Below are 26,271 nucleotides of genomic sequence, written 5' to 3'. Positions count from 1 at the left end.
TTGATTTTGAGAAGCCTTTTAAATATGTCTAAAGCACTTGATATTATGAAACATAATTCCAGATAGCCATAAATTATTTATTGTGCCAAAATGATGACTCCAAAATCTTAAAGAAGCAAAAACCTTTTATAACCCTTTACAAATTTTGCCAAAGAGCAGATTAGTGCCTGAAGAAAATTTTGTTATGGTTTTATCTCAATGCTCAATTTACGGAAAAAACCATATAATACCTTTTTTTGAATAGTCAATATGTTCACACAAAGAACCTCTTCTGCAAGAGTAATTTCCACAATTCTTCCAGCACTTCTTTGAACCTTCAGCTTTTTTCTATATAATTTAATACAATCCTTTAACCCTAGGCCAAAGTTTACATTTCCATGCCTTCTTATAACCTTTTACTATAAAAACACATTTTACTATTCTTACACCCCTTACATGTAAATCTAATTTCAGTAGTTTCAATTACATGGTATAATGTTAACTCCTAACAATTTTTAACTTTAAGGTAAAACCTGGTAAGTTACTTTAATTGTGTGCTGACTGCAGCCGAGGTTTGCCTTTTTAGTTAAGGGTGTAATTAATTTCATATGTCCCCAGGCCTTACCTATTGTGAAGCCAACAAGACAGACAGTTCTCAAAACCCAAAAAGCAGTTTATAACCTCAAAACACTTAGCAAACCTTGCATCTGACCTGCATAGTTTAGTTCACCTATTTACATTTTAATGACACCTTCATTTTACCAATAATCTTTAAGGCTGTTTTTATTTCTTAAAGAGTAAAGTCACATGCACTGCAAGGTACTACAGCTTTTAACTTCCCTTAAAAAAATTAGATCCAAGTGCTTGTCTTTCTTTAGGCCAAATTAATTACAGCTCTTTGACAGACGTTACACACAGTACACACACAGAGAGGCAGAAGAAAACCTAGTCACTGAATGGGGCTATTTAAGAGACAGATTTAGAAAAACATGCAGATATTGAACCAGAAAGGGCTCATTCCATAAGGCAAAGTCTTGCCACTGGAGTTACAAGCCATGCCCTCAGGATGTATAACAAAATGGAGGCTTGATTTAACAACCAAAACTTTGCAGAGAACACAGTGATAGTTGTTGGGGGTGGGGGTCTGGCCTGCTAAAGGGGAAAAAGAACTTTAAAGGTTAACTGCAGACAGGGTGGAGAAGAGAAAAGAAAAAAAAACATTTAAAAATGCCTGGGGAAGAACCTCTTACTCTTATGCAAGTTCCTCCACCAGGGAGAAAAGTTTAATTACTGTCCGATGGAGCTGAACCCTTTGTCCAGGGAAGCAGAAGGCTGCTGTGGTGATGCATAGCTGGGAACAAGCCAGCCAGCTGTGTGGGACCCTTGGACCATACGTCCCAGCCCCAGCAGGGAGGGGAGAGCAGCGGGGAGCTGCTGCTCACTGCTCCTTTTTTGACCCTGAGAATGGAAGGAAAGGGCCATGAAAAGGCCCAGGAGCAATGGGGTATGGGGGCATGGTTTCCCCCACCCTGAGAAGTCCAAGGATGAAAAGGCTTAGAAGCAACAGCGAGAGGATTTGAGTCCCCATTTCACTCACCACTTCTCGAGCCCCACGTTGGGCGCCAAAAAATGTTGCAGGACTTATCCTTAGTTCAGCTAAAGACAAGGTCCTTGTCTGTCCCACAGCCATGACAATTTAGGCTTGCAGATGGTTTGAAGGGTGAGTAAAGCAGGGTTTTATTGGGTGAAAAGGAAGAAAAGGGGAAAATAGGGACTCTTGCTAGCGCAGAGTCCCTGCTAGAGTGCTTCCCGCACAGAGTCCCTGCTAGAGTGCTTCCCGCATGCAGCTTGAATCCCAGGTTCCACACAGGAAGAGGAGGGGCCAGGCTCCTCCCCACTGCAAACTGCACAAACTTCCCAAGGCTCCATCCCTGAGGGCAGGCCAGTTGGAGTTTTTGGGGGGACCTCCTCCCACCTGGCTCTCTCACCACTACTCCTTTCTAAGTAAAGCTTGTTAGAATGGGCCAATATTATACACAAATAGCTCTACCACCATGACCTTGGATCTGCTCCTAGAATCTCTTCCACATCATCATTCCATGGCACTGAGAACCTACCCCCAACTTCCTGGCTAGTTACCATTACAGACAGTGGCTGTGCCCAGAATACAGATTTAGTAAATTTATATTACCCAGAAATCTATCTCTTTCCCATTACTGTAACCACAAGAGTTACTTTATTAGATAAGCTTAATGACTCTGGATATGCAGGCTTGAGGGTCTGAGATTTTAGCAAGAATATTTCAGTCACAGATCATGTCATCAATTATCTCTGATGTCAAGAACACAGTGTAAGTGGAATGGAACTACAACATTAGACCCCAAAGACCAGCTTTGCCTACCACAGAACCCCAGGACCACAAAAAAAAGGATGCTTACGGAAAACACTGGAGTCAAACATAACCATTTTGGAGAGTTTTTTGCATTTTTCCTCAATGAGAATATATTCAAATATTACTTCTGTAGTTTAAAAATAGGTCAATCTAGTTTTAAAGTATGCTTTTCCTATAACTTTTAGGTTTACTCAGTATAAGAAATTTAAATGTATGTTCTCTACTGTCATCAAGTTCTCTTTCACCACCTCTTCCTTCTTTTCTATTGTACTAATAGAAAAGATGAAATATCTGCAGAGAAGACATTGGGAGAGCCTGGTGAAACCATTGTCATTTCAACAGGTAAGCTTAGATCTAATTTCTTTGCTTCTCAACTTTCATTCAAATCATCATGATAGCATGTTATTTATAAAACAATTCCTAATTAAAGATAATGTTTATAATGTACTTTCTCAAAACTAGCTTATATTTCTAACTTTATAACATAATTTAAATTTATTGCATACAACTTGGAAAATACAGAAAAGAATAAAGGTAAAACCAAACCATTCAATATCTTACAGTTTGGAAACAACCATCATGAACATTTACTGCCTATTTTCTGCCTTCTTTCTTCTATTATATACACATATTACTGAGACCATATTTACTTAGAGTTTGTATCATTTTTTCCACTTAACCTGATGTAAAGGATATTTTATAGTTCACTAAAATTTCTTCAAAGTTATCATTTTAATGACTTGCAACATTCTGTTGCATCCATATGGATGTCATCAACTTAACCATTGCATCATTGTATCTGACATTACAAATAGTGTTTTAATTAAGATATTTAAACATAAATCTTTGTCAAATCACTAATTTCTCAAAATAGATTACTAAGTCAAACACTATGGATTTTAAGGCTTTTAATAAATTTTGCCAAATTTTTTTTCCAGAAATTTTGTTACAATTTAAATATCCCACTGGCAGAAAAGACAAGAACCTGTCTCATTGCAGCACTTATCAATATTGAATATTACTATTTATTCTAGAGTTTGCCAAAAGGCAGAGGAAAATCATTTCTCCTGTGTTTATTAGATGTTTGAAATTTCTCTTTCATGTATATTTCTATTGCAGTCTTCCCATTTTCACATAAAAGAATACTTTTAAATATACACAATAAAACTATTCTCTGGGCAATGTGTTCCCCAGTTCATTTGATTTTTGGTAATGTGAATAATGTTTTAAGAAATTAATTTTTCATGACTTAAAATGTAGAAATTGAGAAAATAGATATTTGTAAATAAATGATATTACTTTCCCATTTCTTCCTTTACTGACATTCAGAGAAAGCCGGCTGTGCCTATATTTCAATTTTCTCCTAAGTTCAGCTAATTTATCATTTCTGGACTGACTTGTAGCTAATAATAGGACAAGCCTAGTTGAATTTTAATTATAAAATGACAGTAAAATGCATTTTTAACAATAAAAAGAAGAGCTACATAGTTAATTCCCCCATATAAACAGCTCAAATTTGACCTGTGACACCTAATATCAAGTCTTATTCAAAAAGGTATTATTTAGAGGAGGAGCATATAAACATGTAAAAAGACGTTTTGTACTGACTTCATTTTAATATGGGAAAACAAAATTAATAAGAGAATTGAAATTTGTATTTCTACTTTAAACTTGAAGGTAATGTACTTTAGCTGATAGAAACTTTTGTAATAACAAGATTAGATTTAGTAAGTTAGAGTAAGTTAATATGACCCCTTTCTTATAAATTATTTTTCATTTTTTTAAATAAAAACTTTGAGGGATCAGTGGACAATTCATATATTATAATATAATATGATATATCATCACCATATATTTAAGTTCTAGCAACAAATGTTTTAGAATTATTTCCCCAGTACTTCTGGACACCTCCAGTTGAAGTATACACACAGAACAGTTAAGATTAGATTTTGATTGGGAAATGTTACTAGGTGCCTAGGTGTGAAGGAAGAGTGAGAAATCTCCAAAAGAGGCTGAATGTGCTCGAAGACAAACCCAGGCTACCTAATAATTGTTTTTAGGTGTAAGTATGTGAATAATTTATCTTTTCAAGGCAATAAAATGGAAGGATAGCCAAATAAAAATTTGTTCTTCTAGGGTACCAGCTAAGTACTTTTTTATTGTAACAAAAATTGTAGCATAAACCGATTATTCATAGAATTACAAAGTTTGAAGGTGCCTTACATTGGTAATAGTCTGATGAAGTCCAGAGCACAGAACACCTCCATCCCAATTGCTCACAGCAGGATTCTTCAATGAGGGCAGAAGGGGAAGATGCCAGGGACCACATCCTTTGAGGTTCTGATATGCCACAGGGTATGTACTTTATTAGCCAAAAAACTGCCTTGCCTAGATGATTCTGATACCCACTCTCACGCCCCCACTAGGAAGCACAATTCCACACCCAGGGCAATTACTTCACAGAGCCTCACAGTGACAAGTAACCACTTGTGACCGCAGATTCCCAGGTACCACATACTCTTCAGGGAGTAAGGAAAGATTGAATCATTTTTCAGTATATCTTGTTTTCTAAAACACAAGAATAAACTAAGGCATTCTATGTTTTTGCCTAATTAAGGTTGAAATGGAAAGTTGTTTCTGGCTAAATATAAACCAATTAACTATAACACTATTTTCTCTGAGCATTTTTTTAAATAATAATTTATTACAAAATAGAAATGCATTTGTATTATAATAACGCTTTTTTCTTTGCTTGAATAGAACCCAGACTTGCACTCTATGAAGATCTTTAAAAATATCAAAACATTTGCCACATATTTGAAATGGTTTATGGTGATCTGTTCTAAAAGAAGTGAAATTCATAGCATCTTAAATGTTCTTTCATCTCTTGGATTTTCTGATTAAAATCTTATTCCTCAATGATTGCTTAAGCAATCTACATTTTAAAGACTTGGGCAGTATTCTAAGAAAACCCTCAGAAGAGCAAATTCAAGGTAAACATCTGCCTATGTGTCCTTTATATAGTGTCATTAAGAAAAAATTAATCAGGTCTCATCTGGCAAAAGCATTTAAGTATAACACATACAGGGAAGCACCAAATTTGGGTCCTTAAGAGAAAGAATGAAGAATTTAGGACAGAGTATGAGTCATATTTTTTCAAGAACATATTTACGTGATCTTAAAAAGATGAGTTCAGAAGGCACCTAATATCTGTAAATTCCAGAATGACAGAAAAAGCATATTGAATTTTGACCTCGTTCTAATTTAAACTCCTCCATTCTCATTTTTGTGTCTTTAATTTTTAAAATTTTCACAGATGTTGCCAACGTCTCACTTGGGCCTTTCCCTCTCACTCCTGATGACACCCTCCTCAATGAAATTCTCGATAATACACTCAACGACACCAAGATGCCTACAACAGTAAGAAGTTCCTAGAGTTGATCTAGCTCTTCATGTGCCTGTTTTTGTTCTTTAGCAAAACAGGAAAAGAGAATGGATAAACCATCCTTTAAATAATATTAGTGCTGTATTTTTGTGACTCTGGTTAAGAGTCAGTGACTTTGTTCTATTCTTTATTCTCACTTCTTCCTAGGTACTGAGGGGGGAAGCATAGATTAAGACCTAGAATAAAAGGGGAGGAGTTACAAGAAACAATTTAATTATAAGCTGTGGAGTGCTGGGGCTCTTTTTCCCCAGCACCTAACAAAACCTTATATATATATATAACAAAACCATATATATATATATATATATATATGCTCTCCAAGTGTTAGAATGAATGAATCAATCAATCAATCATGAAGCTCTTTCACCACTGAAGTATAATTCCACATTGACAACAAGAGTGAAGGTTTTGTTCTCAGTTATGTCCGGGATGAATAGGTCAAATAGATATCAAAATGATCAAAATCCTGTGTGTAAAACTAGGGAAAAATAAACACAGTGTTCTAAGGCAAAGAGGAGCACTGGCCACCACTCTGAGTGTGAAGGTATGTGGGATGAGAGGATGGTTACAGAATTTAATTGTGGAAGAAGGGAAACACTGTCCTCATTGTCGACAAATTGTCGAACTCTGTAAAATATTTGAAGAGATTTATTCTGAGCCAAATATGAGTGACCATGGTCCATGATACAGCCCTCAGGAAGTACTGAGAGCATGTGTCCAAGGTTGTCAGGGTGAAGCTTGGTTTCATACGTTTTAGGGAGGCATGAGACATCAATTAAATACATTTCAGAAGTACATTGGTTTGGTACAGAAAGGCGAGACAATTTGAAGTGGGGAGGGCTTCCAGGCTATAGGTAAATTTAAACATTTTCTGGTTGACAATTGGTTCAGTTTGTCTAAAGACCTGGGATCAATAGAAAGGAAATGTTCCGGTTAAGATAAAAGGTTGTGTAGACCAAGGTTCTTTTGAAGTTTCATAGTGGCTGCCCTTAGAGACAATAGATGACAAGTGTTCCCTATTCAGACCTTTAAAATGTGCTAGACTCTCAGTTATTCTCTTCAGGATTTGGAGGGCCTGAAAGAAAATGATCTAGCTATGTTAATAGAGATTCTTTACAGATGCAAATTTTTACCCACAAAGGATGACTTTGCATGGCCATTTCAAAATATGGCAAAGAGACATGTTTTGGAGTAAAAACAAGTTGATTTTCTTCTTTGTCACATAATGTTATGCCAGAGTCAGATTGGAAAGTAAGTCACACTATATATATAGGGTTAAATAAAACCCATCTGATGAGAATTTATGGTTTGTAGGGCATGACTCCCCAAACCCCTTAGATAGGAATTTGGGCAAGATAAGAAAAACTCAGAGCTTAGTCCTCACTCATTAGCCATGTGTGTAGAGCTTTGGCTGCACAAAGTAGGCAGTAGGCCCCAAAGGAGGCAGTAGTATAAGGAGTGGCAGACTAGAACCTGGCATCTCACACTGCCACTACCACCAGACCTACCACCCCTGGGGCCTGAGAGGTGACTCCTCTAACCCTTTCCCCTTCATTACAACCTCTCTCCAAGGCACAGGTCAAAGCTTCAGGGCAAAGGCACAAAGTTCAGCCTCACCAGCTCTACAAGATAAATCAGAGATTAGACCTTGCTGGCCATCCTATCTGCCCATTAGGCCACATGGTTCCAGTTTTGGTTGAACTGCTGGCATGAATAAAGAATGAAAATATTGTATTTCGGCCAGGCATGGTGGCTCATGCCTGTAATCCCAGCACCTTGGGAGACCAACATAGGAGGATCACTTGAGCCCAGGAGCTCAAGATCAGCCTAGGCGAGACTGGGAGACCCCATCTTCACAAAAAATTTAAAAATTACCTGGGCATGGTGGTCCATGCCTGTAGTCCCAGCTACTTGAGAGGCTGAGGAGGGAGGATTGCTTGAGCCCGGGAGGTTGAGGCTGCAGTGAGTTGTGATCGCCATTGCACTCCAGCCTGGGTGACAGAGTGAGACTCTGTGTCAAAAAAATAAATAAATAAAAGAAATAAATAAAATATTGTATTTTTCTGAAAAATGTTCTTCCCTCAACAGTGAAAAGTACTGTTGGAAAAAATTGTTGACCATAATTCAGTATATATTCACTATAAAATTTCTAAGACAACTCATCTCTCATCTCTTTTCTCACAACCCCTCTGTCCCATCTTCTTCAAAAGCTAATATAAGTTCTTCTCTCTGGTTAAATATCCCCAGAATATTTCATTTCACAGTCATTTAAATGTTCCATGAAACTTCCAATTTGCCTAACAAAATGGAATACTTCTAAAGAATACTGCATGTCAGACTTTTCAGTGTCCCATTGATCCTAGCACCATGCTACACCCATACAGATGCTCAATGTGTGTTTTTTTGAATGAATGAAAGTCTTTTAAACAAACATCAGAAGTCTTTTAAATGTGAATCCACATCCTCCTTGTGTCCTACTAAAGTTAGAGAGAGGCTGTAGTATTGTCCATGCCCATGGTGGAGGGGAGTTTGTGACAAGAAATGAGGAGGAAATACATATGCTACCATTTATCCAGTTGAGCTCTGTCCCTCAGGGCAATTTCCATTAACTGTTCTCTTCTTTCAGCTTCTGTAACTCTGATTTCACTATAAGAGACCATGTACGTAACCAGAGATATTCAATTTTCCGCAGAGATAATTTTACTTTTTTAAGAAAACTAATGGGCCTTAGTATCTTCTGGGTATCCAAGGTTGAAAACTCTGTCAAACCCAAGTTTGAAACTGAGCTCTGGGCTTGCTCTGTGTCCTGGAAGCCCATATGAATTCAGAGCAATGAGAAACCCCTGCTGGTTTCCAGACCAACAGGCAAGAAGGATGACCTCTTGGCCCTTAGTGATGGAGACCAAGTCCAGATCCTCAGAACCATGCCTCCGTTCTTAGCCACCTGCTTCCAAAGGTGGCCCAAATACATCATTCCTTCTGAGAGAAATTTCAAACTTTCTCTTGGCTTGATAGTATTTTCTAACTAGTTTCAATGTGAAATTTAAGCACAAATTTTCTCATTAAACCAGTCTAGGCTCTTCTCTAAGTTCTAGTTAAAAGGATTTTGATTGCAAAACACTTAAGCCTTCATAATCCACTTCTTGAGACAGTATCAACATATATTATCTAAAATAACCATTTATTTGTGGTTTAGGTTAACAGAAGTCCTTTTTTTTTTTTTTAAACTCAGGAAAGAGAAACAGAATTCGCTGTGTTGGAGGAGCAGAGGGTGGAGCTCAGCGTCTCTCTGGTAAACCAGAAGTTCAAGGCAGAGCTCGCTGACTCCCAGTCCCCATATTACCAGGAGCTAGCAGGAAAGTCCCAACTTCAGGTGAGTAGACCCGGCCCATACAACCACACCTCAAGCTGTGACTGAGAGGTGGGAGCCGATAGGACATAAACCCTTACGGCGAACAGTTCCAGCTTCTCCTGGCATTCATGTTTAACCATTTAAAAGAAAACCAAAATTACAATGGGCCCTAACATGTTAGAACAAATGGATCTCCAGGAAAGTTTTTCATTCCAGCCTTTCTATTCTCAAAACTTGCAGTGGTCCCCACCTGCCCCCTCTATCCACAGTTTCGGTTACCCTGTCAACCATAGTCCAAAAATATTAAATTGAAAATTCCAGAAATAAACAATTCATTAAGAAGGTCAATAGTAGCCTAACATATGTCACAACTTCTATACCATTTACCTTACTTCGTCTCATCACATAGGCATTATATTGAGAGAGAGAGACCACATTCACATAACTTTTCTTGTAGTGTATTGTTACAATTGTTCTATTTCATTATTAGTTATTGTTGTAAATCCTTTGCTGTGCCTAATTTATAAATTAAACTTTATCATAGGTATGTGTGTATGGAAAAAAAATGTAGTATATATGGGATTAGGTACTCTCCACAATTTCAGGCATCCATAGGGTCTTGGAATATACCCTCCACCAAGGATAAAAAGGGACCACTGTGTTTACATTTATCTTTCTTCAAAAATTAGTAGGTTTTGCCAACCGCGGTGGCTCATGCCTGTAATCCTAGCACTTTGGGAGGCTGAGGCGGGTGGATCAGGAATTCGATACCAGCCTGGCCAACATGGCAAAATCCCGTCTCTACTAAAAATACAAAAATTAGCTGGGTGTGGTGGTGGGCGCCTGTAATCCCAGCTACTCGGGAGGCTGAGGCAGGAGAACCGCTTGAACCCGGGGGGCAGAGGTGGCAGTGAGCCAAGATCGTGCCACTTCACTCCAGCCTGGGTGAAAGAGTGAAACTCTGTCTCAAAAGATAAGTAAACAAATGTAAAATAAATAAATAAATAAAAATTAGTAGGTTTTAAAATCTCATTGAACTGAAAGACATTATGCAGCTGCTCTATGCCTAGATGACCATTATGGTGATGGTTTCACTGGTATATACTTATAGACAAATTCATCAAGATGTATATATTAAATATGTACAGCTTTTGATATGTCAATTATACCTCAATAAAGTAGATTTAAATAAAACAAAATGACTATGTAGGCACCAAGTAGAGAAGATGCTGGGTTAAAGTATAAATTATTAATTCATAATACTTTGTCTTTATATAATATTTCTATTTTTACAGTTTGATGCAATTTAAAGACACAATATTTTTCATGGGTGATAAGAGGAAGGCAATTATATTGTCCATGTCATCAATTAATAAACTGAGGAGCTTTCCCAAGATGTCTCTTCCATCTCTGACCTTTGTTATATCTGTCTGTCTCTAATTAAATTCAAATCTCTTCAATTCCCTGCAGGATAAATCCAGCTACTATGCTGAGTGTGGCATCTATATACCATAATAAGATCTCTGCCTTTTTTTTTTTTTTTGAGCCTCACCATATACCAGTTCCTTATCATCCCCCTCCTTTTCACTCTAGTTTCCAGGAATGCAAACTATTTCCAATTTGTCCCCCCATTTAGCCTTTACATGTGCTGTCTGCTCTGTCTAGAATGCCCTTCTCCAAGTCTTGTTTTACATACTTCAACATGGAAAGTTCCCTCTATCCATTCTGCATCCAGTGTCTCTCCTGGGCTCACTCATTGCTTTCACAACACCCTTTCTTGAGACTGCTTGCTTATGTGTCTATGGCCTTTGCTATCTCTACTCCTTCCTCTTCATTCACCCCACTCATCACCACCAGGCTATGAGCTTCTCCTAGAGAACAGGAGCTGTTCTTTTAATCTCTGATGCCTAACCTTCTAATACAGAGTTTGGGATGCAGTTAACTACTCAGTAATTGTTTGTATAAATGCAACTGAAAATAGAAGCATCCATGAGATTACGTAACCAAGAACTACAATGTGGACAACAGGAGTGCACACGAATCTTACTCAGCATGGCCAGGGAACAAACAGGCCCCCTTCTCATACTTGGAGAATTCAATACGTACCTCTTCTCACCCTGAGAGGAGATGAATAAGTGAAACATTCTTAACCTCCAGCCTCTCTCTGCATCAGCATTCAGCCAATAAAATGTAAAGAATTATTTCTATAAATGTCAAAGTAAAAGAATCAGCATGGGGCATTTATGAACCAGAAAACTACTCAGACATGGATTATTAGACCAAATGAATTAAAGAATAGTTTGTTAACATTTCCATTTGTTCTTTGGAACATTCTTTTTGGCAATTCCTTAGTATAGTCAGAGTATCTTCAAAGTAGGATAATTGGCCATAGACTTTTTGATGATCTATTGTCAATTTTCTAAACACTTACAACAATCTGATGTAGAATAATGCAAATATATTGGGATTTTTAAAAAATCAGAGTTCTAGTCCTGTTTTTGCCAAAAATTAGCTCTGAGAAATTGGAGATCCCTGGCCTAACTTCCTTGCTTAGAAATTGTAGAAGATGACCTCAGAGTTCCTTTCCAAGTCTAAACTGCTGTGTATAGACATAATAGCTAACACTTTTCTTAATGCTTTATATGTACTAACTCATTTAATTTTTCATGCAATTCTGTAAGTGAGTAATATTATTTCCTCTTTTTGTAAGAGGTAACTGAGGAAAGGAGATTAATATGTCCAACGGTGCCACTTTTATTGTCTGGCAAAGCCAAGATTCCAACCCAGGCAGCCTGGCACCAGAACTCTTGCTCTTAACCACCATGTCATGCCTCCTATTTTTCCCAGATAAATGTTTGTGGGAAGGGACTATTGTATCATCATCAAATGGGCATGTCTTTTGTCTTTTTCTTTCTTTTTTTTTTTTTTTTTTTTTTTTGAGACAGAGTTTAACTCTTGTTGCCCAGGCTGGAGTGCAATGGTGCCATCTCAGCTCACTGCAACCTCCGCCTCCTAGGTTCAAGCGATTCTCCTGCCTCAGCCTCCCAAGTAGTTGAAATTACAGGCAGGCACCACCAAGGCTGGCTAATTTTGTATTTTTAGTAGAGACAGGAGTTCACCGTGTTGATCAAGCTGGTCTCGAACTCCTGACCTCAGGTGATCCACCCTCCTCGGACTCCCAAAGTGCTGGGATTACAGGCGTGAGCTACCGCACCCAGCCAAATGGGCATGTCTTGCTAGCCTCTGAAAAACTTATAAGCCAAAGAAGAGTACATCCTGCCCAATCTTGTTCCAGAGACCCCTGGCGTCAGTGCTGCTGGTTCCATTTGCACAGTCGTCACTGATTTCTCTAAGATTGAACCCCTCTGCTTACAACATCTGTTCCCTCCCCAGGCTCCCTAGCAGGGCCCCAACCACCTCACAGCCTGCCATCAGATAACTAATCAGCCCCACCACAGCCCAATGCCTGCATTAGCACATTCAGGCCTAATCAGGAATTAATGGACAGTGCTTCGCAGTAATTTAATTTCCACAATAAACCTAATGAGCAATTTAATACAAATGTCAAAAGGAATCATTTAGTTGTTGTCTGAATGCTTTCTCCTGTGCAAACCTTCATGAAAACTCAACACAGCTGCCTTTTTATAGCCCAGTTAACATACATTCCAGCAGAATCAGGGAGGCCCCTGTGCATTTAGTATTATTAATAAGGTTAACTGGGCACTTAATTAGCAATTTAGTGGTTAGTGCTCCATGACTAGAAGGTCCCCAGAAGATTATTTAGCAGAATTAACTGAGGCTTTTGTCATATCCTCCCTAGATGCCTTCCTCACACTCCTAAACAAAGCTGACTCTTAATCAATCCCAGATAGGTTCACAAAGAGGGCATGGACATAAACAATAAATCCCTTCCACCCAAGCCAATGCCATGGAGCCCTCCTGGAGAGGAGGAGGGCTCTCCCCCGCAGTGCTCCCTGTTGCTGATGCTGCAGCTGCAGGCATCTACAATGCCAGTCCCAGGGTCGATTGACTGTTTTCATGTATATAACAGCATCTCTGGTATCCTGGAGAAGAAAAATGGATGATTCAGGATCTGAATCTGCTGCTCCAGAAACTGCAGCTCATGTTTAAATGTTAAATCCCTGGAGCTGTTACTGAAATAGCATGGCAAATTCCCTGTGGCCCCAAAGCTGTTTGTCCTAGGAAGCCACAGCAGATGTGAAGCATGTACACAGACCTTCCTGCCTGCCCTCAGAATAAAGACTAGCTTTGCAGAACCCAACCTCCTAGATTTCTGTTGAGCCCATGGCAGGGTGTGGGTGGAGACACAGAAACTCGCTCCCCAGGCCTTCTGCCCCTGACCTCTACAGGGACCCTCATCCTGTCCTTCCTCCCTCTGAGTTTCAAAAATGACTAACTAAAGACTTGCTCTGCTCTTTCCAGGCTCCATGCCGTGTGCTCACTTGGGGGAGTAAGAGAAAAATGGGCTCTCAGGAGCTGGCAATCCAGCAGGAGAAGTAGAGAATAAGAAAGTAAATAATACAAATCACTAACTGCCCAGCTGTGTACCAGGCACTTGTTACTTATTAGTTGTCATTGTTATTCCTTTTTGGGTAAGGAGACCAAGATTCAGAGAGATTAAGCAATAAACTCAGGATCTTGCAGCTAGAAAGTAGCAGAACCAATATTTAAACCCCATCCCGTACAAAGAGCTCCGGATCACCCAAAAGCTGAGCTACCTTCATCACTGTGATTCCTCTTATGTTCAGGGAATGAAACTGCTTTTAATATTGTCACAAAAAATATGTATATAATTAGAAGGTAAATCAGTCTGCTGGGGGAAAAAATTTGTAATGCAGTCTAAAGCCCAGTGTAAGTGATTTGGGGATTATCTGTGTATCACTGCTCTAGTCCTTCACACGAACAATGTAAAGTTGGCAGTAATTTTTGATGTGGTGACAACACAGTGGAATGGTAGTGAATTTAGAGAATGAAGAGATGCACTCAACTGAATTAAACAAAATGTGCTGGGTCCCTACTATGTGTATGACAATCTGCTAGATGGAATGAGGGAGGTAAAGAAAAATGAATAAACAGGACATGGCCAAGGAGCATGATCTCGGTGAGGGAAACTGACATGTACCTCACAGACTTTTATGGGGTATACTGCAATAAACTCTAGAGTAGTAGAGAGAAGAAATAATTGAACCTGACTTTGGGGCTCTACAAATGCTTTTCAGTACAGAAGATGTCTGAGCTGGCTTTGAAAATGGGTGCAGTGTGGGGAGGAGGGAAAGTTAATAAGCAGAAGGTGGAAAAATTGAAGAGAAAATAATTCATAGGAACTTGAAGACATAGAAGTGTATATTGTATGTGGGAAGGAACAGGGGTCAGTTTAGTGTCAGTAAAGGACAAGATATTGGCCAAGGGGATAATGATGGCAGGAAGTGAATGGTAAGGTACCTGGGGGTGGGGTGCAGATTCTGGAGGGTCTTAAATGCCATTCTAAACAGTTGGATCTTGTTCAATGGGTCCAGCAATGAACTGTTAGTACAGATTCTTAGTAAAAAGATTAACTTCAGAATAAATGTAGTCAAGGAGATACCTTCTCCTTCCTCCTCTCCCAACACACCCAGAAAACCATTTCTTCTCTGCCCACTCACACACATAAACCCATTTCAGCAGTGCAGGAGTAGGGATAGGGAGGGTATGCCAGACCTGTGAATGAGAACATGGTGAAAACAAAAGACCTTGTGGAATTCAAACCAACCAGAGTCGGTGGCTGCATGTGGGGGGTGGGAGGGAAGGTATCTAGGGATGCTGCGCTTTCTAGAATGGAAGACAGTCGGGGTTCATGACCCTGTCTGAGGCAGAGAGGCTGAGGACAAAGGCAGACTTGGGAAGAAGAGAATGGCTCTGGTTTGGGCAGATTCATTTAGTGGCAAATGTTGGGATATTTATGTGGAGAACTCAAGGCTGCGTATCACTGATCAATTAAGCCATGGGAGAAAATGATATCCCCCGGGGACAAGGATAGGAGAGAGGGGACAGGGAAGAGAGGAAAGGGATGGGTGTCTGCTCACCTGTTCAGTTTCACCTTTCACCCTGCTCTCTCTCCCAAGCTTCACTACTCAACCACTATCCCTTCCTCAGTCTCTCTTGCCTCCCAGTCTCCAACAGGAAAGCTGGATGGGGCAGTACTTGTCCATGTGACGGTGTCCCCAGAGCCTAGCACAGCATCTACAGTCGAGCTTCCAGAAGAAAAGAGAGAGTGACTGAGTGAAGCAGGAGGCTGAAGATGGAAACTCGAAGGCTCCTTATGTTTAAGTAGAAAGTAAATACAGAAATAGGGTGGAGCAATGAAGATGGAGAGAGTGGTCAGAGAGGTGGAAGAAGAACCAGGAAAGAGCAGGGACACTGTAGAGGGGGAACAGAAATTGCCACTGGATTTAGAGAGAGCTGGAGAGACAGTGGCCTGGAGAGAATGGCCAGGCTGTAGTAGCTTAAGGATTAGTTAGTACAGCAATTATAAAATATTATAACAGGCCTCATTAGTAAGGTCAAATTAATTAAGAAAATTTATTGTGAAGTCCATATGAATCTAAGAGTAAATCTAATCTATTAGATTAGAATCTATTTCTACCACTTTAAGTACAGCAGCCATTTTGAATGTAATCATCCCTTTCACATTATAGATAATTTCCAAACCATATCATTAATTCAGAAAATATCATAGCTAAAATATTATAGCTAACTCTAGTTATAATTATAGTCAGAAAATATTACCCTATGTGTATAAGTAAAACTCCTGTAGACAAAAAAGTTTTCATGTCCTTTGTAGGGACATGGATGAAATTGGAAACCATCATTCTCAGTAAACTATCGCAAGAACAAAAAACCAAACACCGCATATTCTCACTCATAGGTGGGAATTGAACAATGAGATCACATGGACACAGGAAGGGGAATATCACACTCTGGGGACTGTGGTGGGGAGGGGGGAGGGGGGAGGGATAGCATTGGGAGATATACCTAATGCTAGATGACGAGTTAGTGGGTGCAGCGCACCAGCATGGCACATGTATACATATGTAACTAACCTGCACAATGTGCACATGTACCCTAAAACTTAAAGTGTAATTAAAAAAATAAATAAATAAAATAAAATAAAATAAAAAAGTTTCCTTCAAATACCACCTTAAAGCTATTTTATATTTTATTTAAAGTAACCGTAAGAGCAGATCAGAACTATCCAGTTACAGCTTTTAAATAAATAGCAAAACACTTTCCTCTGGGTTTTGGAAATCACTAGGAACAAAGAGTTTGGCCTCCTTAGTTGTTTCAATTTTTCTTTTTCATCTGATCAATTTGGAGAGTTTTTTTAAAAGAAAAAATAATCATTTTCCATTTTCAGCTGTTCCCCTAACTCATCAAAAGTGTTCAGGTTTTTCAGTTAGGCAAGAACTGACCCAGCAGAACCAAAGAGTATTTTACAAATTTCTTTCTCTCTGCAGATGCAAAAGATATTTAAGAAACTTCCAGGATTCAAAAAAATCCATGTGTTAGGATTTAGGTAAGTAAGAGAATCAAACTCTTCTCAATTTTTAAATTACTTTCTTCCTATCCTTTTGTAAAAACAATGCCATAAGGATTATAAGGTCCTTTTTCCCCAGTTGTTTAGCTCTGCCAAATCCTGGAAACGGAGTACGTTTCAGATAAAGGAACTGTCTAATTAGAACATGACTCTAGGTGATTCTTAAGGGGTAACACAGGAGCTGTATTCCTTCCTTCTTCTGGGAATCAGAAATAGTGCTCTCTATAGAGAGCTCATCTGCTGTCTTTGGTCATGTGGTTATGAATGAGCTTCTTAGGAAAATACCTCAGTAGAGACAGATGAAAAAAGGTAGACATTAATTGCCTACCTTTTTAACCAGGTGTCTGATTGCCTGGTTTCCTATGGGATGCTAAATAACATCACTATTTAAACAAACCATGCTTCCCAAGAGAGACAAGTGAACAATAAAAAGTCATAGCTATCCAGGTAGGAGAGTTGGGAAAATGGGGTGGAAAGGAATAGGAGCATAAGCAAGACATTCTAAAATATACCTTTTATGTCATTTTGACATCTGATTCATAGTAATCTATTACCACTCAAAAATTACTAAATTAAAATTTTAAATAAAAAAATAAGATCATAAGATAGTGCCACACTAAAGAGGGTTTAACCATATTCCCACATCTTTGGCACAAGGAGGGCTGTATCCTTCAGCATCCCAACACTCTCATGTGGGTTCATGATTGGGGGAAATAATTTTTAAATCTTTTTTTGTAAGTTCTCATTTTTCAAAACGTCTACAGATGAACTCATAATATGCTATTTTTAAAATGTGCCACAGGGTAAATATCAGCCCTGGTATGAACAGAATGAGATTTCTTGCCCCAAACGAGCTTTGTAAACCAGGGAGCGTGGGCTCCCCCAGAAGTGTTTCTGGCTCCTTCACTGCCTACTGTCTGAAAGCAAGAAGATGTACAGAGCAAGGGCTCCACAGGCCCAGAAAAAGAAATAGCTTTGCAGGGAGCTCTCATGGTTTATTTCTTTCAAAGCTATCAGGCCCCTCTGATTTGTATAACTCCAGAGAAAGGAAATACTGAAAAGTGAAAGTTATAAAAGATGAAACCCTTAATATCTACCAAAGCAGACTCATTTTTCTTTATTTCAAGATGCTGCTCGGTAGTATTTTCTGTGAAATCAGATGGATTAGAGAAAAATAAAAGTTGATAGAAAAATATTCTGCATAAATGCAAAGGTTTTCTGAATAAACCACTGCAGTGGAAGAACAAATTTTTAATTTAAAGCTGAAGGAAATGATGGGAACAGTTGTTTTGGTGAATATTAAAATGTTCATTATCCACCTCCCTTCAATAAATGAAAAACAAAGGTTTAAAAAATCTGTTTTAGAAGTAAACCAAAATGTTAGATGATGAAATTTTACAAGGTAAATATTTTAAAGATATATCTCTTGACACTGAATTTTTACCAAGTGCTTATCTTTGTAAGGATTTATTATTATTTCTGCCAAAGATGCCTACAAAGTAAGTTTGATCACATTTTCCCAGTGATTTCCATGATGACATGAAGATTTAGTCCACCATAAAATATTTTGGCCCTTGAATACAATAAATAATGTGCTCATGACAGTGGCAAAATTGTAACCATTAATAATGATGCTCAGAATATTATAAAGTAAACATGTTATTAAGGAAATTGCTTTTTTGTGGGCCAGATCCCTGAAGAAGACCAAAAACCCTGTGAGTCTCCTGGTACTGACTGTCCTCCAGCTCATTTGTATAAAGGTTGATTTACAATTTAACAAGTACTTTTTTATCAGTGACTTCATTGAATTCAACGTGACTGGGAAGTAGTTAGGACATGTATCATTAACACAATTATGAAGATGAACAATGAAAGGGCCACTTTAAATATTGCTTTATCTCTCAGCAAAGGTGGAAAACTATTAACAATCATGCAGTCTTGTTGGAGGGTATACTCCTTCAAATACTTGTGCACAAATGTTCAAAGCCTCTTTATTCTTAATAGCCAAGACCTGGAAATAACCCAAGTGTCTATCAACAGGGCAACAAATTGTCATATATTCTTGCCATAAACAACTTCTCAACAAAGAAATGAACTATTGGAATACACAACAACATGGGTGCATCTCAAAATAACTTCGTTGAGTGAAAGAAGCCAAACAAAAGTACATCATGATTTTATTTATAATAGACTCTAGAAAATGCAAACTGATTTATAGTAACAGGAAACAGATCAGCAGTTGCTTAGGAAGGTGAGGCACATAGGGATAGAAGGGGAAGGATCGCACAGTAGGATGAGTAAAGCTTTGCGATTGATGAATATGCTCACTATCTTGATTGTGGTAATGGTTTGACAGGTGTATGGCATCAAAATTCTTGGATCGTATACCATAAATATGTCCCATTTGTTTATCACAATGATACCTCAACAAAACAATTATTTAAAAATTAAAAGGACTAGGGTCTTGACCCAGGAAGCCTGGCCTCTTTACAGAACCTCATGGATTACAAACTATTGCTGAAAACAAGCAAGAGGGAGGATGAGTGTCTGGTTGGTAGAGAAGGAAGTCTCACCCATACAGCAGCACTAGTTAGATTCTTCCTTGCCTCCGCAGAAGGAGGGTTGTGGCATGCCTGTAGCATGTACATTTCAGTCATATGATATCTGGGGATGAAAGTTACATTAGTTAATATAGTCCAGGCAGAAAGGGCAACAACCCCAATCCCATCACATGTGTAGAGTGTCTTTGGCAGCAACTACCATTTGAAATGTAAAAGGAGAAAGCTGGACATAGCTACTAAACTGAATTCATACATGTGTCCAAAGGAGTGCAAAATGTGTTCATCAGTTTGGTGACTAAATGGTCTTTTTTCATGCACAAGCAGGTGGTAGCATGGAAAAATGAGCCAGGCTTGAGGTCAGGAAGGCCAGGATTTCAACCCTGCAATTCCCATTTGACACTTCCTTCTATGTGCCTGTTCCCTTTTCTGTGAAGCTGGGATTACATTGCTGAAAAGATTAAATGAGAATGCATGTAAATTGTTTAGTACAGACCACTCACCCAGTAAACAGGTGGTGGTTTTTCTTGCAAGCTGTCCCATGGTGAATTGGATCAATCCCTCAAAGCTTACTGATAGCAACAATTCAAAACATAATCTGTCAAGAAAACACCAGTTCCACGGTTTTGCCTCAGATAAATTATCTTCAGGAATAAACTAATCATTTAATGCCAGTAAGAGCTGAGAAATCCATTTACAAAATACTTTTTTAAAATGTTCTGGCACCAGTACCCCCCAAAATGTAAAACATGTAGGATAGATTTCCAGCCTTTTTAGATGGAATATGAAGAAATTAAGGAATGTAAGAAGAAGACCAAAAGTGCAGATAATCTTTGAACTAAGGCTCAAATCCTAATCAGAAACATATAATGATGTTTACTTCTTAGATTCATATCTCTCTCAAAGTTTCCATTCAAATTCTGATGGCAGTTTATATGAATCTTTCAAAGCTCTGAACAAACAAAAGAGACAATGGAAAGAAATATTTTTTTCTTTTGTATATAAAATAATTCATTGAATGTCTCAATAAATGTCATTAAATTTTTTTCTCTTTTTCATGTTTCCATTGTGCATGATGAAATGAAGACCAAAGAAAGAAAAAGATGGGTAATTTGGACTTTAAGTTTTGAAATATAGTACATTCCCGTCTCCCCCAAATTTATATACTGATTTTGCACAAATAATTTTTACATATAATGTCTTGGATAAGCCCATTACTTTTTGATGGTTTCTTATTTAAATGGAAGTAATTGAACAATTGTCCAGTAGTTAAAAAAAAAAAAATTCTCTTATCAAAGTCACTATGTGGGATACAGGTAAATATTTCCTTGGTCAGCTGAACAGGATTTTATCATACTCAAGGTATAGTTAGAAAAACATAAAAACACTATCTGTGCTGCAAGCATAATTTATTTCTTAAATGCCATTTGTAATGGGCAGTTGTCTATCTGAAAGCACACACATACATGGAATCAACCTAAGTCTGGAATAAAGCAGAGAAACTAATTTGCTCCTTTCCAAGGTCAATGTGAACTGAGAAAAGGGCCCACTATACCTTGGAGAGCTCAGTAATAAGAATCAACTTTGGCTCTGTAATTGACTAGTGAAATAACAAACGATAGACTCTAAATGATTGTGTCATCTGAAAAACCACCAAGAATACACGTGATCAGTTTCTGTGGCCTTTAAAACACTTCTACATCACTCTGTCTAGATTTATGACATGAACTAAAGGTAAAACCTAATTCCTGAGGACAGAGACATAGAGAATCCTGTTTCATTTTTGCATGCAAAAAAGCTTTGAGTTAATGAATAGGATAATAAATACAGTTACCTATGTCCTGCTTATTTTTCTCTTTTCTCACACCTTCCTTCTAAGATGTTATTTTAAAAGCAGCTTGAGGGAAAAGAGTATTATGTATCATTTAAAGTTGTATTTTTTTAATTAAAAAATACTTATTTTAAAAAAGTAGAAAAGAAATAGCCTTAAGAACTGAACCTTTGACTTGGTTACAACACATATGTATATATATATATACACATACACACACACACACGTATATATACCCATATGTATATAGGTGTATATATATGTGTGTATATATACACCTATATACATATGTATATACACACATACCCATATATGGGTATATGGATGGGTAATTTGGACTTTTTTTACATATATATACTATATATATATATTTTACATATATGTGTATATGCATAATAGTATATATATATTGTGTGCATATATATAATATACATATATATATATACTATTGTCCTACTGCTATATCTTACATTGCTATTTCATAGACCTTCCTAAAGGAGGCTATTTGTAGAAGAAAGGATAATTCATCCTTCTTCCTGATTGGCACGGCATGACTTATAAGATCACAAAAAATAGTGGTCAATACCAGCAACTTTTTTGACAAAAAGCACTTTTTCAAAAAGACCTAGGTGGGCACAGTGGCTCAGGCCTGTAACCTCAGCACTTTGGGAGGCCACAGCAGGCAGATCGCTTGAGCCATGAGTTTGAAACCAGTCTGGGCAACACAGCAAGACTCTGTCTCTACAAAAAAATTTAAAATTAGCCCACTTCCTTCCTGTGTTCCCAGCTATGCTGGGGGATAAGGCAGAAGGATCACCTGGGCCCCAGGACTTCAAGGCTACAGTGAGCCATGACCATGCCAATGCACTCCAGCCTGGGTAACAGAGTGAGACCCTGTCGCAAAAAAAAAATAAAAGAAAGAAAGAAAAAAAAAAACCTAAAGTAAAAATCTATGGTCACTTGATTCAGTTAGTAATCCTTCTTTGAGGTGGACTGACCTCCCTCCTGCCATTCTATTTTAGAACTAAAAGATATATTTATTCTTTTTTCATATTTTAAGTTTCTGATAAATGTTGAAATGTTTTAAAGTGGGATATTCTCTCCGAGCCCATCAGGAAAGAGGTGGAAGCTATCCTGAAGCTTTGTAGCAATCTAGTGATTCTCTTTGCAAGGCATGTAACAATGGCTTTGGGTGGGGAATGTGTCCTCTGCTATCTACAGCTCAAGCTCCACAGAGATGCAACTTACGGCCATCTTTAAGAGACACAGTGCAGAAGCAAAAAGCCCTGCAAGTGACCTCCTGTCTTTTGATTCCAACAAAATTGAAAGTGAGGAAGTCTATCATGGAACCATGGAGGAGGACAAGCAACCAGAAATCTATCTCACAGCTACAGACCTCAAAAGGCTGATCAGCAAAGCACTAGAGGAAGAACAATCTTTGGATGTGGGGACAATTCAGTTCACTGATGGTCAGTTAATGATTGCTTAGTTCTGAGTTTATTCTCATTTTGGCAGAGACTAAGAATGTGAATGTCTCATGGAAACTGTCATTTTAACTTGGGTCTTCTAAAGTCGATCATTACTGTGACAGGAATACATATGGTATCATTTCTAGCTTTTCTCACTCCTTCCTGTGTCTCATTTGATGAGTCTTTGGTACCCACTTCTTACCAAGGATAGTTCTAGGAGAATCCAAAGGTTTCAGTTCAGTCCAAGTCAACTGCGGAGAACGAAGGCAGAGAAAAGAACCCACAGACAGTTCTGTTACCCTGGCACAATCAAAACATATTCTCTCATGTAGTCAATTGGTCAGGTCTCAGCGAGAAACAGATGGCACATTCAAATTAGTATAATTTGAGGAGAGTTTAATAAAGGGACCATTTGTAAAGGTTTGTCTGTACACAAAGGATTAGGAGAGTTCCCTGAGGCTAGAAGCAGCAAGCCTCATTACTATCTCCAGACTTGAAGTGTTGCCTAATGTTGTATGCCATGCCAAAGACAGAGCCCAAGGAACCATTGATATAGTCCATATTATTCAACCTTCTGGGGCAGAAAGTAGCAGGGAGGGGAGGGGAGAGTGGATCTAGAGAAGTCAACAAGATCATCAGGCACACTTAGGATCCTCAGAGGGCAGTCCTCAGTAGGTTCAGTAAATGGCAAAGTAGATGGACACTGGAAATGCCATTTTAGTACAACATGGCATGAAACTGTCATTTTCTGCCAGTTCTGTTTTCTGCCTAAGATAGGCACTCTTAACACTAGAAAACTTCATAAAGGTCTCTTGAGACAAGACGAAGGGCCAGGGAAATTCATAGGCAAGAAAAGGTCAACTTCACAAGTGTCTCAGAGACAACCTGATACTCGGGGCTTGTCCCTTTTGAGCCCTCTGTGTCATTCTGAGAATCAGGCTTTAGGTTGAAAGTTTGCCACAAATGATCCTTGGTTCCAGTATTTATTCTAGTCATTTTGTTTCTTATCAGTTTAGTCATATTTTTATCCCTAATGGTTTAGATAATTAGCCAGCCTGCTTGGTCCAAATCTATAGAATAAAACTGAGCACCCTAAAAATCCACCCTAATAACTATTCTTATCACATAAACATGCAAGATGCACCCTTTGCAACTGTCCTTCAATATATCATTCAGATTAATGACCTTTTTTCTATGCCTCTGGTTTCCTAATGATTTGTTGTACTACTCCTTAAGGATTGGTTATTCCGCATATTTCAACCTGGACTGTTTTATTGTCCCAACCACAAAAGAAAAAGGAAAGATACATTCAAATCTTGTGATTTTTTACCCATAGAAATTGCTGGATCACTGCCAGCCTTTGGTCCTGACACCCAATCAGAGCTGCCCACATCTTTTGCTGTTATAACAGAGGTAAGTTTGTTGTCCTTTTGTTCTTTAACTAGGAACAAAGTCTCAAAACCTTCCACCAAAGAACAAATCAGCTTAAGAAATGAACAGAGCAAAATCCCCTTTGCAATGCTAATTAAATTCTTTTCTGTTTTTTACAAGCAGCACTTGCTTAACCCACTTTCAGTATCCGTATTAATAAAATATAATACAACTTGCATTTTAAATATCTCAAAGTTCAAAGTTTCCTTCAATTTAGTTAGATTTTTGTTTCATTTAGAATCAGGATGGGCTCTGTTTTTAATAAAACAAACAAATTTTCATGAACTGAAAAGAATAATTAAAGCAGAACATATTATTTGACTTTCAGAAATATATATAAACATGATCATACTTTATAAATTTGTTTTTATGACTTAAAGATTTACCTATGTATTTATTTATGGGGGTTTGATAAATACAAATTAATGTCTTTAAAAGTAAATAATAAATTCAGTAATAATTTTTGTATTTAATTTAAACCTATGTTTATTTAATTTATGCCAGAAGTTGTCACTGGGGTGTTCATAAATAGAAGTGCTGACTAAGCTTTATTCCCTCCTAAAATGAAATAATTCATAACATGATTGACATAAATCAAAGTATCTTAGCTGTTAGTTAAGTCTATTCAGGCAGATTCAGTTATCCGAGAAGCAATAGATCTTATTTTACCACTGTATCAATGGATGTTATCCTTTTAGAACATATTTCTATATCAGAACCTTCCTCCATAGTAGATTCAAGTCAACAACAAAATAGTTTGCCTAAATTTAAATGAAAATTTTGAAATATGGGTATAGCCCTTCTCATATACATACAAACATCCTTTCTCAACATCTGTCTTGCAAAATTCATTCTTCAGGATGCTACTTTGAGTCCAGAACTTCCTCCTGTTGAACCCCAGCTTGAGACAGTGGACGGAGCAGAGCATGGTCTACCTGGTAAGTTTCCCCTCACAAAGTCTATGTTAGATGACAACATATGCTTTGAGGAATCCCATTATGATACTGCCTCAAAGACCAGTGACAAAGCCATCCCGAACCCAGGAAAAGGTTCACTGCCACCAGCATTTCCAACAGAAAAGCAGTCCATTGAACTAACCTTTCTGCAGAGGAGGACATCCACAGCATCCTTCCTTCAGCTCTAGTTCCCAGTCCTACAGCCAGCACCGGCAGCCCTTTTCTAATGGAACTGGTCAAGGAGGCTGAAAGCAAAACAGCACCAACTGCTGCTCACCCAGAACAACAATCTCCTCTGGGCTTGGAAACTGAGAGTCCATGAGGACAAGGTAGGTCCTAAGGCCCAAGTCCATGACAAGCAGCCATGTCAACCGTGGACTGGGCCTTTACAATCACTATATGTATTCCTGTGCCTTTTACATGCTGACTATGGATACAGGCTGTTCTGCTACATGTGTTTCTTTAGTGTAAATTAGCACATGTGTAAGTAAAAAAGAATATCAGTAAACACTGAAGTCTTAGTGATTCACTTTTGAATCTCCAAGAAGGTTAATTTTGAGGCAATAGTATCAAACTTTTTCACAGTTAAAGAGAAATATTTAGCAACATATGAAGACATTAGGGAAGAAAACAACTAAAAATCTTGCAGAGAGCCTTTTTTAGTGCAAAAAATAGCTGATTTAGTGGCTCCAAGAACCCCTATTCTTTCCACTCTATAGAGCCCTGTGGTAAAACTACAAGTAAAAAACACAAGCCCCAGGATACTAGGCTGATAAGAATGTACTGTGATTATAAGTACAAATGCCATTGGAGATTTGCAATGACTGGTATATTTAATAAGATTACTATTGTTTTAGTTAGAGGTCTCTACATTCTACAAGTTTTGAGTGGACTATCTTAACTGTATTTTCCTCATAAACACTGTGCAATTAGTATGCCATTTTACAGAATGCAAGGTATTTCAGGAATACATATATGGTATGATAGCAGAATTAATTATACAAATTGGATTTCATTTACATGATTATCAGTGAATAAATGTTAACTTCTTGACATGGTTATTTATTGCTGCATTACAACCATCCCTAAAGTTAGTGGCCTAAAACAATAATCATTTATTTTGCCAATAAATCTGTAATTTTGGCAGGGATCAGCAGGGACAGCTTTTCTCTGCTCCATGTTGTGTCAGCTGGAATATCTCAACTGGTGTTGAAGATCCATTTCCAAAACGGTTCACTCACTGGCTGGCAAATCAGTGCTCACC

At 38.0% G+C, this 26,271-nt stretch overlaps 1 protein-coding gene across 2 annotated transcripts in view; it reads left to right on the top strand.

The window, feature by feature from the left end:
* IMPG1 (interphotoreceptor matrix proteoglycan 1) overlaps window positions 1-26,271 on the top strand; it is a 151,549-nt gene that overhangs the window by 44,756 nt on the left and 80,522 nt on the right. For both annotated transcript variants that reach the window (NM_001282368.2, NM_001563.4), the window contains 8 exons: window positions 2,649-2,713; window positions 5,688-5,791; window positions 9,049-9,189; window positions 16,683-16,741; window positions 20,407-20,427; window positions 22,373-22,620; window positions 23,957-24,033; window positions 24,911-24,989. In NM_001282368.2, the coding sequence (NP_001269297.1) occupies window positions 2,649-2,713; window positions 5,688-5,791; window positions 9,049-9,189; window positions 16,683-16,741; window positions 20,407-20,427; window positions 22,373-22,620; window positions 23,957-24,033; window positions 24,911-24,989 (794 nt within the window). The remainder of the gene's footprint in view (window positions 1-2,648; window positions 2,714-5,687; window positions 5,792-9,048; window positions 9,190-16,682; window positions 16,742-20,406; window positions 20,428-22,372; window positions 22,621-23,956; window positions 24,034-24,910; window positions 24,990-26,271) is intronic.

Source organism: Homo sapiens, chromosome 6, assembly GCF_000001405.40.
Source record: "Homo sapiens chromosome 6, GRCh38.p14 Primary Assembly".
In the NCBI taxonomy this organism is placed as follows: Eukaryota; Metazoa; Chordata; class Mammalia; order Primates; family Hominidae; genus Homo; species Homo sapiens.
Note: the sequence above shows the minus strand (reverse complement) of the source record. Positions and strands in the feature narration are given on the sequence as shown.